General features: G+C 47.3%; 1 long non-coding RNA gene and 1 pseudogene across 2 annotated transcripts in view, besides 3 other annotated features; both read right to left on the reverse strand.

Moving 5' to 3' along the window:
• Positions 1 to 12,361, reverse strand: part of LINC02026 (long intergenic non-protein coding RNA 2026) — a 46,288-nt gene extending 33,927 nt beyond the window's left edge. The window contains exon 1 of the long non-coding RNA NR_033944.1: positions 12,287 to 12,361. This is a non-coding gene — a long non-coding RNA (long intergenic non-protein coding RNA 2026). The remainder of the gene's footprint in view (positions 1 to 12,286) is intronic.
• On the reverse strand, positions 1,795 to 2,940 carry DPPA2P3 (developmental pluripotency associated 2 pseudogene 3; annotated as a pseudogene). The gene has a single exon (NR_027764.1). The product of NR_027764.1 is annotated as a developmental pluripotency associated 2 pseudogene 3 (transcript).
• Positions 5,543 to 6,470: an enhancer, noted in NCBI's record as "NANOG-H3K4me1 hESC enhancer chr3:193714630-193715557 (GRCh37/hg19 assembly coordinates)". NCBI's record gives its function as "activates a minimal SCP1, AML or CMV promoter by ChIP-STARR-seq in naive H9 embryonic stem cells {active_cell/tissue: H9 hESC(naive)}" and the evidence as "EXISTENCE:reporter gene assay evidence [ECO:0000049][PMID:30033119]".
• Positions 11,887 to 12,056: a silencer, noted in NCBI's record as "silent region_15011". NCBI's record gives its function as "represses an Ori minimal core promoter by ATAC-STARR-seq in GM12878 lymphoblastoid cells {active_cell/tissue: GM12878}" and the evidence as "EXISTENCE:reporter gene assay evidence [ECO:0000049][PMID:35858748]".
• Positions 12,420 to 12,935: an enhancer, noted in NCBI's record as "H3K4me1 hESC enhancer chr3:193721507-193722022 (GRCh37/hg19 assembly coordinates)". NCBI's record gives its function as "activates a minimal SCP1, AML or CMV promoter by ChIP-STARR-seq in naive H9 embryonic stem cells {active_cell/tissue: H9 hESC(naive)}" and the evidence as "EXISTENCE:reporter gene assay evidence [ECO:0000049][PMID:30033119]".

Here is a 13,551-nt window from a genome sequence, read left to right on the forward strand (position 1 = left end):
TGTATGAAGGCTTCTGCCCGCCTGACCTGATTTACTGTGTTAATCAACCCACTATGTCTTTCTTTACAGATAATGTTATGGTGAGTGCCTGCCTCCTTCCCAGGTATTAATATATTTTTCTAAATTCTGAATTAACGAGATCCTAATACATAAAGGGATTTATCAGAGAATTCGGTTTTTGGTTTTTTAAGGTTTGGAGGGGTTTTGTTGTTGTTGTTGTTTAATCCAGGGGTTCTCTTTCTCTCATCTTATTTAATCCTGGATAAAAGTTAAAAAAATCCTGCATACAGCTACTGTCACAAAGCCAGCTGAATCAAAAAACCTTCCCCACAGCCTATATCCCTCCTCTGAGTGGTTGGTCTGAATTTCTAGAGTTAAAAGATTTCTTTCTCTGGGTCCTTTGAAATAACCGTAATTAACACTTACGTAGAGGCTTATGATACAATGGTATCGTCTAAAACAGGAGTCAGCAAACTATGTCCTGCAAAAGATTAGCAGTTGCAACAGAGACCATATGTCCCACAAAGCCAAAAATATTTACTGGTTGGCCCCTTACATAAAGTTTGCCATGCCCTGACATTCACTATCACATGGATCCTCGTAAGCACCTACCAAGAAGCTTCTTCCTGTTTTCATAGCCACAAGGACTTCAATATGAACAAGTATTCGAATTGACTTCTGAAACACTGCCTGCGAAGAATACCAACTTAGGGGTGGAGGGGGGAAAGGGGCAGGGGACGGTAGAGACGAGGATTAGAAATTTGACCCCAGTAAAGAAAATTAGCCATATGGAGAGAAAACAGAGAAAAAACTCCATGCTCTCCTACTGAACAGGATGCCCAAATGCCAGGACTGTTGTTCCACAAGCCTCTCCCCTTCCCCACGTTCCCCCTAAATATCCTCAGGCTTATACAGTGGTGTGTTGAAGCCAGCTTGTGTGCTCATGAGAGGCAACTGTGTGCATCGTGTTCGGGCTCCACGTTCAGTGACATCACATTGGTAGTTTGACATCAGCCATGATAAAAGTATTTACACCACAAAAATCAGCAAAAGCTACAAATCAGGGCTTTCCCCCGCCACCCGCCCCCTCCCTCCAGGGCTGACTGTTAAACATTTCCTACCACACCACAGCAGATATGTACATATATACATATGTACATACATACATACATAATTTCACATAAAAGGCACCATGTCATACATGGTATTTTCCCCTTCAGCTGCCAAATGTTAGCTGCAGACAGCTCACAGCTGAGTCTCTCTCCAGGAATTGCCCTAAGCTGAAGGGAACTGCCGCACCCCAGGTCTGCTTCCCTCCCTAGGGCAACCTCCTTGCAACTACTCCTCAAGGCCAAGATAAAAAGTGAAAAGGCCAGACTCATCTTAATGCAGAACAACTTCAGCTCCAAAGCTCCTCCGGGTTCAGCTGGGACTTCTGTTGCAATTGCATTAGAGAGAGAGGGAGTGAGAGAGGGAGAGAGAGGGAGAGAGACAGAGAGAGAGAAAAGAGAAGAGAGAGGAGAGAGGAGAGAGGGGAAAGGGGAGAGGAGAGAGGAGAGAGACAGAGAGAGACAGAGAGAAAAGAGAGGAGAGAGGAGAGAGGAGAAAGGGGAGAGGAGAGAGGAGAGAGACAGAGAGAGAGAGAGACAGAGAGGAGAGACCCATTTGTCCACAACCAACTTCTCTCTTCATCTCCCATCTTGAGTTACCTATTTCAGTTCATTTTTGATTTGCTTAAGGTTCTTTCTGGAGTATTTTTCTCAGATGGGATACCTGGATAATATACTTTTCTCTTTTCAGTGACTTTATTTTAATGAGTTTTCAGACTTACAGAAAGGTGCTCTTCAGATGGGGCTGTGTCACTGGTCAACCATCTTCACTGTGGAGTCCTAGTCACTACGATTTTGTGTTGCATATCATGAAGATTCATTCAAATTGTCTCCTCTTCCTTTCCTTCATAATAGGTTACATGGTCTGAAAGTACATCCCTCCTTCTCTAGTACATTGTATTCAAAGAGGTTGCTGCTGCTTCTCCATTGTCATTAATCTTCTCATCATCTTCTTATTCCTCTTAGCACAGTTGGGGCATAATATGTTATCTTCTATGCCTGGGGATGGGAAAATGCAGGCAGGTAACAAGAAGAGAGAAATCATCCTCCTGTGAGTGGTAGGCACCCAGGCCTGATCTGCATGAAACTGCAGGTGTACCCAGCTCTTTGTGTCTGCTGAGAGACGTCTGCCATGGACCACACACCACCTGACATCAGAGGTTTGCATCCAAAAGGCCTCAACAGAAACAGGAATGGAACATGAATTTACAGCCTTTGGCTGAACAGCTCTTGCACCAATTCTTGCCCATGATGCCAACATGGATGCCTGCACTGAAGTTATCACTTCAACTATATTAGTCTCTCTGTTCTTTCATTCATCTCATAACTTTTCTGAAGCCTCTTGCTCTCTCGGTCACTGCCTTGTGTTTTCTCGAGCATCGCTGTAATCTGGTCTTATGTGATGTTTCAGGCGTATCTTGCTGTTGTTCAGGGAAAGCACGCCTACGGAGCCTCAGATAAACTTCTATTTTCTTGCCATTAGCACTCAAACCAAGTTGTTGACACCAGTCCCGCTAAGTGTCCCGACACACCTTATTAATGGGAGGCAAAGTGGTCGGCAAGGGAAGGGCTGGTATTTTGCACCAGCTTTTTGTGGAGCTGTAAATTGTTCATGTGTTTGAAGTGATGACCTTGATTATATTTCTTAGGCTTCTCCAGTTTGACATCAGAAGTTGAAGAAATACTTGGTTCCATTTGTTCCATATTTGGGTCATCTTTAACTGGCACCAGTGTCAAAATCACACTTCCCTCATCAACTACTTCCCCCCTCAAAGAAATTCTTCTTGCTGCTATCCAAATTTGAGTCTGACATTTTCAGCAACACCCCTGTCTTGTCCACTCAGTGATACGATTTTTAAAAATTAGGCCGGGCGCGATGGCTCATGCCTGTAATCCCAGCACTTTGGGAGGCCTAGGCAGGTGGATTGCTTGAGTCCAGGAGTTCAAGATCAGCCTGGGAAACATGGCAAGACCCCCGTCTCTACCAAAAAAAAAATATAAAAATTAGACAGGCACTGTGGCGCGTGCCTGTAATCCCACCTACTCGGGAGGGTGTAACTTTTCTTTTTCCCCTGGCCAGCAAAAGGTATTTTAGCTGGCTCAAGTATTTTATAGACCTCATTCCCCTATTTCCAGCTTCCCGTTATTATAGGTGAGAAGTGTGACACTGTCTCTTTTCTGTTTCTTGGTAATTAATGTTTTTCTCTTTGTATTAAAGGGTGCAAAAGGTTCTCTTTTTACCTGCTATTCAAGAATTTAATTTGGATGGGTTTAGGTATGTGACTTTCAGGAACCCCACGAGTTCTTTTTAAACCTCAGACCCAAGTCTTTTTCACTCAAAGAAATTACCTTCTATCATTTATTTAATGATTCTCTCTTTCGTGTGTTCATTTTTCTCTTTCTCTTGCAACTCCTATTAGGTCTCCTGGATCTAGCCTCCTAGTCTCCTCTTTTGCCCTTAAGATTTCCACCTCTGTGTTTTTGTTCTATATTTGGGATATTCTTGCACTTGGCCTTCTCAGCCTGCTTTAATGTATCCAATGAGTATTTTAGTCAAAGCTCCAGGAAGTCTGTGTTTCTTTGTTTTTGTTTGTTTGTTTGTTTGGGATACTGTGGTTGAATGTCCTTCTTGCACTTCTGCCCTGGCTGTCTATTCCAGCAGTGTGATTTCCATGAAGGGCTGTTCGGCGGATGCTTCCTCTCCCTCTCACTGCCCACTGAGGCCCTGTAGATGCAGAGTTGTTTTTTTGTATCTGTTCTTTGAAGTTCAAGGCCAGCTTCTGGGGGTTCTTTCAGTGATCACAGTCCTGTGAGTGGTGGGAGGGATGGCCCCTGTGGGCCATTAGTGTAGCTGGATATAAGGGGTCAGTCCCAATTAAGGCACGGGAAGGAAGGAGGCCTCTCAGTCCCACCACGTCCCCACGTTCAGCTTCTCTTCAGCAATCTGAGACCAGGAAAGCCCATTCATGAATGCCAAGGTAGCCCTTTCCATGGGTCCACGAGTCTAAAGGAACCAAGCGCAGGGCCTGCCACAATTACAGCCTCATCCCCAAGCTTTCCACCCACTGATTTACAGAGGAGAAATCCCCTCCCCAGCTCTCTTCACCGGGCCAAGATTTGAGTAGAGGGCCGACAGGGCACCATGTAATGAAAATCTCTATCTCGCCCCCAGCCCTTTCATAGACATCCAGGACACCCTGGATCTACTGTCCCTGGCAAATGCCTCCTTAACTTCTGAGATGGTTTAACTCTTTGTTCTCCACATCTCAAATCCAAGACACCCTGGCGAATGCCTCCTTAACTTCTGAGATGGTTTAACTCTTTGTTCTCCACATCTGATTTCTTTGGATGAGTCATTCAAAGTTATGTGCATTAATGACAGATCCTTGAACAATTAGATTCACTTTAAAATTGTGTTCATTGGGAAAACAACTGGGTGAAAAGGGCAGATTACAAAGCACGTGTGTGTGTGTGTGTGTGTGTATCTCCCACATACACGGATATATCACATATACTCAGAAAAATGTTGGCATGGACGAACACCAAATTGTTACCTGTAGATGATGAAGTTATAAATACTTTTATTGTCCGCCTTTTTCTTATCTAAATTGTGTAATATTTCTTGTTTATGAAAGACAAAAGAGCCTGTTCAATTGTTAATTCAGCAAAATGCATTACAAAATGTCATTTGACTCTTACAGGTATTTTCAGAGGGTGTGAGGAGGGAGATGGCAACTCCACCTCTTCGTCTCAGTGTCTGTCAATGAGAGCCCACCTTGAGAGCCCCACGCTCTCAGCAGGCTCACCAGGCTGTTAGTAACCGGTAGAGAAAAGGAGGAGCACAGACAGAAGCTTCCTGCCCAGAGTCACCCAGGACGGCCCCCGCCCAAGGATGGACCCCAGCCTGGAACTGGCTCCAGAAGCAAAGGTTAGACCCCTCTGATTTCCCAGGTGTCCCCAGTTGTCTAGTGCTGGCTTAAAGAGGCTGGACAGTCTCTCAGAGAAGAACCATTTCCAGGTGCCTGCTGAGTCTCCAGCACCAGGCACCAGCACTTAGCAGCCACTCGGGAAACTGGCTGAATGAATGATCTCACAGCCTCTCGGTTCACTTGATAAAATCAGACACATTAGTAGCTGTCATTGCTTACTCTTGGGCCGTCTTTGGATTTGCAATTCCATCTAGGTGAGGCGTCAAAATTTGAGTTGTATAGGAAGATTTCAGCTCAACAAAAGGATTCACAAAAGGATTTGTTTAGGAAGATTTCAGCTCCTGCTGGTTCACACAAGAGGCTTCCTTTCAAAGAGCTGAATTCCCTATCAGTGGGCATGGCCTAGAAGGGGCTGGCTATCTCCTGTCAGAGGCGATACGGAGGAGTTCCGTGCTGGCTATGAAGAGAGACCAGATGTGCTCTGAGCATCCCTCTAATTCAAACTCTATGACAGATGCAATTCCTGGTTCAGAAATCTTACGCAAATTTGCCTCTTCCTTCCAAAAATATTCTTCAACCCTGATGTCATTCCTGTGCCTATTAAAACTCTCCTTTGAGGCAGCCAACTATGACTCAAGGGAAAGGTTGAGTGGGTCCTTGTGGCGACCATGAGAGCAGCAGGCCTCCCTGACCCAAGAAAGCCTCCTTGGAGCACCCTGGACTGGCCTGGGATCAGTTAAGGAGAGTTTTACGGAACTGTGTCCTGGTCTGCTCCACAGGTATTTGAAGGAACAAATCCCAAGGAAGACATATTGTAGGACAGGTGATATTTAAAGTATTAACCAGAGATACAGAAGCACTAGCCACTCAGAAATGTTGTGACACCAGAGACATGACACAGAGCAGGATCTGCAGGTCCTCTGCATCTGCTTACTGGATTGTGGGGAGGTTCCAGGGTGGGGGCCGGGCAGCCAGTGCAGCAGGGCTGTGCTTGAGAAGCTAAGAGCAGCAGCCAGTTACCAACCGGTTCAGAAGGCTTTCAACAGTTGAAGAGCCAGAGTGGCCACACCAGCTAGAAATCAGCCTGGCTCTCCAACCACTTCTGAGCAGGCTGACCTTCTGGCAGAGGCTGCAGCCCCGTTCCTGCAAGCCACATTTTATGGAGTTCTTTTATTAGTCTCTCATGTAACCCATAGCCACATCATAAAATTAAACACCCCATTCTGTACATCAAGTCCACTGACTTCTTGAGCCCTGATTAGCACTGGGCTTTTCCCTCTGGGAGTTCTATTAAAGTAACATTGTAACGGACAGAAAAGGAGTCTTTGCTAGGAGCAGCCAAATCCGCAGACTGACTGAGCTTCTGCTGGAGTCACCATGTGGCACAGCGTGTCCTCCTTTATCGGAAGCGCCTTTGCCAGCTTCCTATCCATCGCTCTCTGCCTCTTTCATTCCTACCCCTCCCCATCCTTCTGTGGTAATCCCTCCCCCCTCCCAAGCTCCTTCCATCTCCTAAGATGACTTAATGCCATGAGTGGTTAAATGCTTGCCTGGAGTCACTGTCAGGGTAGCCCCAACTCACCCCTGAGAATATATTTAGCCTGTGGGTAATCGCCCAGTTGGAGAGGTTATCTTTAGCCTGGCAGAGGTTGGGAGTCAATCTGGGCCATGATATGAACAGCAGAGGGAGGAGGGAAAGGAAAGGAAACGAATACTCCAGAGTCTACAACAGCAGCACTCAAGTGTACTCAGGTGGTGGAGAACTAAAAGTCGAAGTGTGCTTCCTGAAACCTGAGGCTCTTCCGGGAACACCCTGGAATAATGGTCTGCTTCATTCCATCCCATGAACTAAGAACAATTTTAATAGCAGAAAATATGGCTGCATTATGAGCAGACAGTATAAAACCACAAGCACACATGTTCTTTAAAAAAAAAAAAGCCACAAACTCAGCATGATTGGTGGTTTTCAAGCTTTCCCATTCATATCTGTTTACTACTTCTTCATTAGTTTTGTTGCCTGCAGGTGCTAAAGGTTTAAAATGGAAGAACATGCATGGAAAAAATTTACATGGAAAAATTATATTACCTGAGTTAGGGAAAAGACCACTACTATTTGATTTTCAAGGTGGAACGCCTCAGTCCACCTCAGAATACCAAGGGCTGAGCTTGAAAAGCTCCAGGACCTATTTCTAAACTATTCAAGAAAGACCGTGCACTTTCCCTCAGGGCACAGGAGTAACTTTCCTTAACATCGTCCCTCCTTTCCACTCACTAAATCTTCCCTGTTATTGTTTATATCCATGGCCTCTTGGTTGACCTTCCTTATAGAACAATCGATTAGAATATTTTTTCAAAACAACTGAATACTCGCTAGTTACGATTAGAGGGAACCTAGGTCCCAGTGTGAACCAAGGCCAAGAAGCCTCCGGGGGTGGGGAGGGACTCGCTCTGTAGGGAAGGAGACCCGCCAGGCCCTACCCCAGTCAAACAGTCCTGCTCTTTGGAGGGGAAGAGCAGTTCATTCTGAGCGTCCCTCGGCCAGACATATCCGAGTTCTGTGAAGAGCAGCAGGACCAAAAGGGAAATTGGGAAAGACCATCTTGCTGAGGTCTTTCAGGAAATCAGAGCACAGATGGTAGAGCTTTGGGACTGAAAGCTCACACAGAGGGAAGAGGGTTGAATAATCTTTTTTTTCCCCCCAGATTCCCCAGAGCTTTCACTCCAGGGTGCCAGAGGGTGCCCGGCAGGAGCAGGCCCCTGGGAACTCCCAGGACAACCCAGAGGCAGTCCAGACAGCTGGGAGTCCTTTGCTGCGGGCAGGCTCCGGGTACAGTGCCCCTCAGAAGATCATCCCTACTCAGGTGGTGAGGCCTGGGGAAACTCAAGTTACTTTACCATGTACTTCAATAAGTGAGTCATCTCTTAGCCTTTTCTTCCCTAGATTGAATGATGCTCGTTCCATCAACTGGTTTATTAAACGCACCCTTTATTTCGCCATTATATGAGTGCATTTTGGTCCTCTGTTCAACTAGAAGTTACCTTATTTGTCTCTACCAGTGTACACACAGTAACCAACAAGTCGGACATTTACGAATACTTTAACAAGAATCGACCCAACAAATAATTTCCAGATCTCTATCAGTTATGCTCCTTACCATCCATCTTGACAGTGTACTGGCACTTACTACAATGGCCTAACATTTCCTATATCATTTGTGACTAACCGTGCATCCTTAGATCATTTTTCCACCACCCTTGAGTCAGACTAGCCTTTTTCCAGGTAATATTTGAGATATCCAAATTTTATTACTCCACACTTTTAATTACTGAATGTCATTCAGAATGTGCAAGAGTAGTCTTCTAGTTCTCAAGTTCAATGGGCCTTATATCCCTTTTCCAGAGTGCCAACAACTGTAACAATGTCATCAACACCTGCAACTGTATTCAGTTCACAACAGCCTCATTAAGTCATCATAAGAAAAAATAGAAATATTGCATATGCATGCATGTAGCATCTCTGGGAAAAGAAACTTTTAATGACGGCTGCACCTGCGGAAGGAGATGAGTTGAGAAGTTGATGGTGGGAGGCAGAACGTTCACTGTATACGTTTTTGAATCATTTTAATTTTTAGATCATGTGCATGTATTACTTTTTCAATTAAACTTTTTAAAAACTAGCTCTAAACAAACAAACAAAAAATAACAAAGAAAAAGACACAGCCCTGATCCCCTGGGCACTGGCCCTGACGGCTGCCTAGAGTTGATATTATACCCTATGGTGTCAAATGTCTCCTGTGTCATTGGCCCTATGGAATGCCTCACTGAATTCAAGATGGACTATGCAGTGACCTGCCTGGTTCCTGGCCCTCACAGCCCTCTCCCCAATAACTAGGGCAACATGACTTCCGCTTGTTGACTCAATGCTAGACCCAAGCCCCAGGACTAATCCTGTTCCCAGTCTGGAGAGATTTGACGGGCTAGCAGCTTGGGTTACTCTGTCTCAACCCACCTGGTTGCTGGCAGTGTCCTGCTCTTCGTGCTGTCTTGGCAGAGAGTGGTCCAGACCTTGTCTGGTGGAGACACACATCTCCATTTTTAGCTTGCTTGATTGTGAAATTTATCAAGGGGTAAAGAGGAGACAAGAGATACCTATTCGATCACAGCCTTCCCACTCTCCTCCATTTATTCACCAAATGCGGTTACTAAGAACCTTCTATGAGTAGGATACTAAACCAGCCTGGGCAGAAGCAAGTAAGAAGCAAATGAGTATACCAGTGCTCTCCAGGAACTCACAGTCTAGTAATAAACACTAATGGGCTGGGTGCAGTGGCTTATGCCTATAATTCCAGCACTTTGGGGGGTCAACTTGGGAGAATCACTTGAGGCCAGGAGTTCAAGACCAGCCTGGGCAAAAGAGTGAGACCCATCTCTACAGAAATAAATTTATTTTTAAATTAAACTTATTTATTTATGTATGTATGTATTTATTTATTTTGAGACAGGGTCTTGCTCTGTCACTCAGGCTGGAGTACAGTCACAGGCTGGAATGTGATCAGAGTTCACTGCAGCCTTGACCTCCCAGGCTCATGCAATCCTTGCACCTTAACCTCCGTATTAGCTGGGACCACAGACGAGCGCCACCATGCCTGGCTTATTTTTTTTTTTTTTATTTATTTTTTTTTTTGTAGAGATGGGGGTCTTCTTATGTTGCCCAGACTGGTCTCAAACTACTGGGCTCAAGCAAATCTCCTGCCTTGGCCTCCTGAAGTGCCGGTATTAAAGATGGAAGCCACCGTGTCTGGCCAAAAAATTTTTTTAAATTAGCCAGAGGCCAGGTGCAGCGGCTCACGCCTGTAATCCCAACAGTTTGGGAGGCTGAGGAAGGCAGATCACCTGAGGTCAGGAGTTCGAGACCAGCCTGGCCAACATGGTGAAACCCCCTCTCTACTAAAAATACAAAAATTAGCTGGGCATGGTGGCACACGCCTGTAATCCCAGCTACTCTGGAGGCTGAGACAGGAGAATCGCTTGAACCCAGGAGGCGGAGCTTGCAGTGAGCCGAGATGACGCCATTGCACTCCAGACTGGGCTACAGAGCAAGACTCTGTCTCAAAAAAATAAAATAAAATTAGCCAGGCATGGTGGCACACACCTGTAGTCCTAGTTACTTGGCAGGCTGAGGCAGGAGGATTGCTTGAGGCCAGGAGGATGAGGCTGCAGTAAGCCATTATCATGCCACGGCTCTCCAGCCTGGGTGACATTGTGAGACCCTGTCTCTAAAAAATAAATTAAACAAATAAAAAATAAAGACTGATGGAGTCCAACTCAAGAACTTTAATGCAAACAGGCAGGTGTGAGGGAAGAGAGAGGAAAGGATTGCTTTCAATCACCGGCAGCAAGATAAGGAGCAGTCCAGGAAAGTTTTCAGAAGGGGATGACATTGCTATTAAGACTTACGAGCTGAAGGGAATTCAGTAGCTGCAGATAGAGCCTTTCAGATCGAGGAGGTGGCCCGCGAAGGGGATTCCACTGTCACAAAACATAAAGGCTCTGCACTTCCGTTCCCCACTCCTCGGAGAAGGAGGGTAAAACACGAAGGCTCTGCACTTCCGTTCCCCCACTCCTCGGAGAAGGAGGGTGAGAAGAGCTGGGCCCTCAGAACCCAGGACCACATAAGAAGTTTTTTCTGTTTAAGACAGCCTTCTTCTCCACTATTTGTCTGGTAAATACCTCGTCTTCAAGCCCCAGCCTAAGGACGCCTCCTCCGGGAAGCCCACCATGACTTTTCCAGGCAGGGTTAGTTGTCCTGTCTGCTGCACTCCTACTACCCTCTGTTCTAGAGAGTTAGGGAAATTTAGAAGTTAGGCAAACAGGCTCTGCCACCATTCTGCCTGAGTTCAAATCCTTGCTCAGCCACTGCGTTGCTGAGTCATCTGAAGCAAGGCACTCCCCTCTCTGGGCCTCAGTTTTACCATCTGTTAAACGGCGTAACGATGGCACTGTCCTCCTGAAGTCACCGTGAGGATGAAACAAGGCAATGTCCCTAAACCAAGTGCCTGCCGTAGTGTCTGCTCTTGTTACTCATAACCATGGGCTGCTCTTACTGGACGGTGCTTGTGACCGCAAGAACCCTAAGGGCCAGGGCTATTCATCTCTGAATCTCTCTCTGCAGTGTTTAGAGGTGCTGTCCACAAGTCAGGTGTTCAATTTCTATCTTCTGAAGGACTGAACAAAACATGGCTATGAAAAGGGACAAAATGAATCAAGCCTTAATGCAAAGACACAGTAAATGCAGGTGAAATGACGGGAAAGGAGAAAGGAATGTAGGAAAGTAAATGGGGGAGAGGAGACGGTGCACCGCCTTCAGAGGAGAAAAATTCCTATTAAATTCCTGTTCCGCCTGTAATCTCAGCACTTTGGGAGGCCGAGTTGGGTGGATCACCTGAGGTCAGGAGTTCGAGACCAGCCTGACCAACATGGTGAAACCCCATCTCTACTAAAAATACAAAAATTAGCCAGGCCTGGTGGCAGGCGCTTGTAATCCCAGCTACTCGGGAGGCTGACGCTGGAGAATCCCTTGAACCCCGGAGGCGGAGGTTGCAGTGAGCCAAGATCTCACCACTGCACTCCAACCCGGACAACAGAGCGAGACTCTGTCTCAAAAAATAAAAAATTCTCGTTCATCTCTTAACGTGGGGACTTGCCCATTTATATTTGGACGGTATTTTTCTCTGGCTGTCCCACTTCCCGGGGCCTTGGAGCTCCCTCCCCCGCAGGGCGGCTTCTCTCCTCCTCCTCCCTCCTCCCTCCCGCTCCCAGGGGAAGGGCCGCGGCCGCAGCCCTGACCTCGCCTCCCACGCGGGCCAGCAGCCGGCCAGCCCGCGGGCGGGGCAGGAAGGGGGAGCCGAGGCTCCGGGCACCCGAGATCCTTAACTGCAGCTTCCAAAGCCCTGGCTGATCCTAATCAGTGTGGGAAAGGAGCGCCGGGCCCAGCCCGCCGGCCGGAGACGCCGCCTCTTTTCATAAACTTTATCGCCGCGGTGCACAGCCGCTGATAAAGCACCATAAATAAACGAGCGGGCGGGAGTGCGCGGCTGTCTGGAGGCTGCCGGAGCGCACGCCCTGCCTCGGCCCTGCAGCTCCCGGGGGAAATGAATCACACGCCGGGCTGCAAAGAGCAGCATGTTCTCCTCTCCAGACCAAGGCCGTAAATAATAATGCGTTCTTTCCCTACGTGGAGACCCTCACCTTTTGTCTTGTGCATTCCGTAAAAAGCTCAGGAGTTTCCTTCCGGCTGCCTGGCCTCCCCTCCTTGCCCCGGGGGGTTAGGAGTGCTCTGTTCTGACTTAGGCGTTTCCCTAGGGTGGAGCTCCTGGGCCTGGGTTGGGCCTGGGCGTGTGGCTCCGTGATCGTAAGTCCCCTCTGGCTCTTGCACAACAGACCGAGGCTGGAGCAGGGCAGGGAGGCCGCAGTGGGGCCTGGGTTAGGAGGGGGGTGGTTTGACATCTCTAGTGGTAAGTGATGGTGAGCCCGGTTCCCGCCGTGGTGGCCACGGACATGTGTGGTGGATAGCCTGCTGCAGCTGAGTCATCGAGGAACCCTGGGTACAGCTTATTCAGAGGCCAAGGGAGAGTGCATACCCTGATCACAAAGAAAGAAGACTTTGCCCCACTTGATGGCGTGTTCAGCAGGCCGCATGATCCGTGTCCCTTAGCTGTTGAAGTTTTGACTTGGGGGGTGCCCGAAGTTAATCTATGGTACAATTTTGGGGAGTAGAGTTTGAGGATGATTCCATGAACATGAAACAATCTAGAAAGTCAGTGGTGTGTGGAACAGCCCAAAGCAGGCCAGCTCCGCCACAAGGTCCAGTCTCTAACCCAACCCTGCTGCCACTCAGCTCTGTGGCCTCGGGCAGCCACTGCCCTTCTCTGAGCCTCAGTTTCCCCATCCTTCTAATGATCTCTAAAGAGATCTTCCAGCTCTTCTGCTCACTTAGTGAGAAATAACATCCTTGCTATAAATTCTTCCATTTCCGAGGTGTCCCAGCACAGGCCCCTCTGAAGAAACACTGTAATGTCCACTTAGAAGAAACCAGGGCGTGGGCCATTTCTGTAACTGACACCTCGTTAGCGAGATTAGCACTGGAAATTACCTCCTGGGGAGTTTACAGAGGTTCAGGAGCCCTCTAGCCAGAATAAAGTCAGCTTGTGAGGTAAAAAGATTTAAAAATAAAATCCAGTACTTGATTACAGCATTAGGTCAGTGTTTCTCTGCGCCCCAAGGATAAGCTCCATGGTGGCTGGGGTTCTGCTTCCTGTGAGAAGGATTGGCTGGCTTGAAACATCTCATCCCCAAAAGTCAAATGTTTCCTTTAGTGGGAAGCAGGGCCGGGAAGGAAGGAACTTCTGGTTGCAGCTCTAGAGAGTGGAATCTAGGAGTCCTGATAGATTATTTATGGTTCAGCACTCCTAGAGAGTGTGGATTTTGGGAGCTGACTCCTCCAGCCATGGCCA

The sequence above is a fragment of the Homo sapiens genome, chromosome 3, assembly GCF_000001405.40.
Source record: "Homo sapiens chromosome 3, GRCh38.p14 Primary Assembly".
NCBI classification, from domain to species: Eukaryota; Metazoa; Chordata; class Mammalia; order Primates; family Hominidae; genus Homo; species Homo sapiens.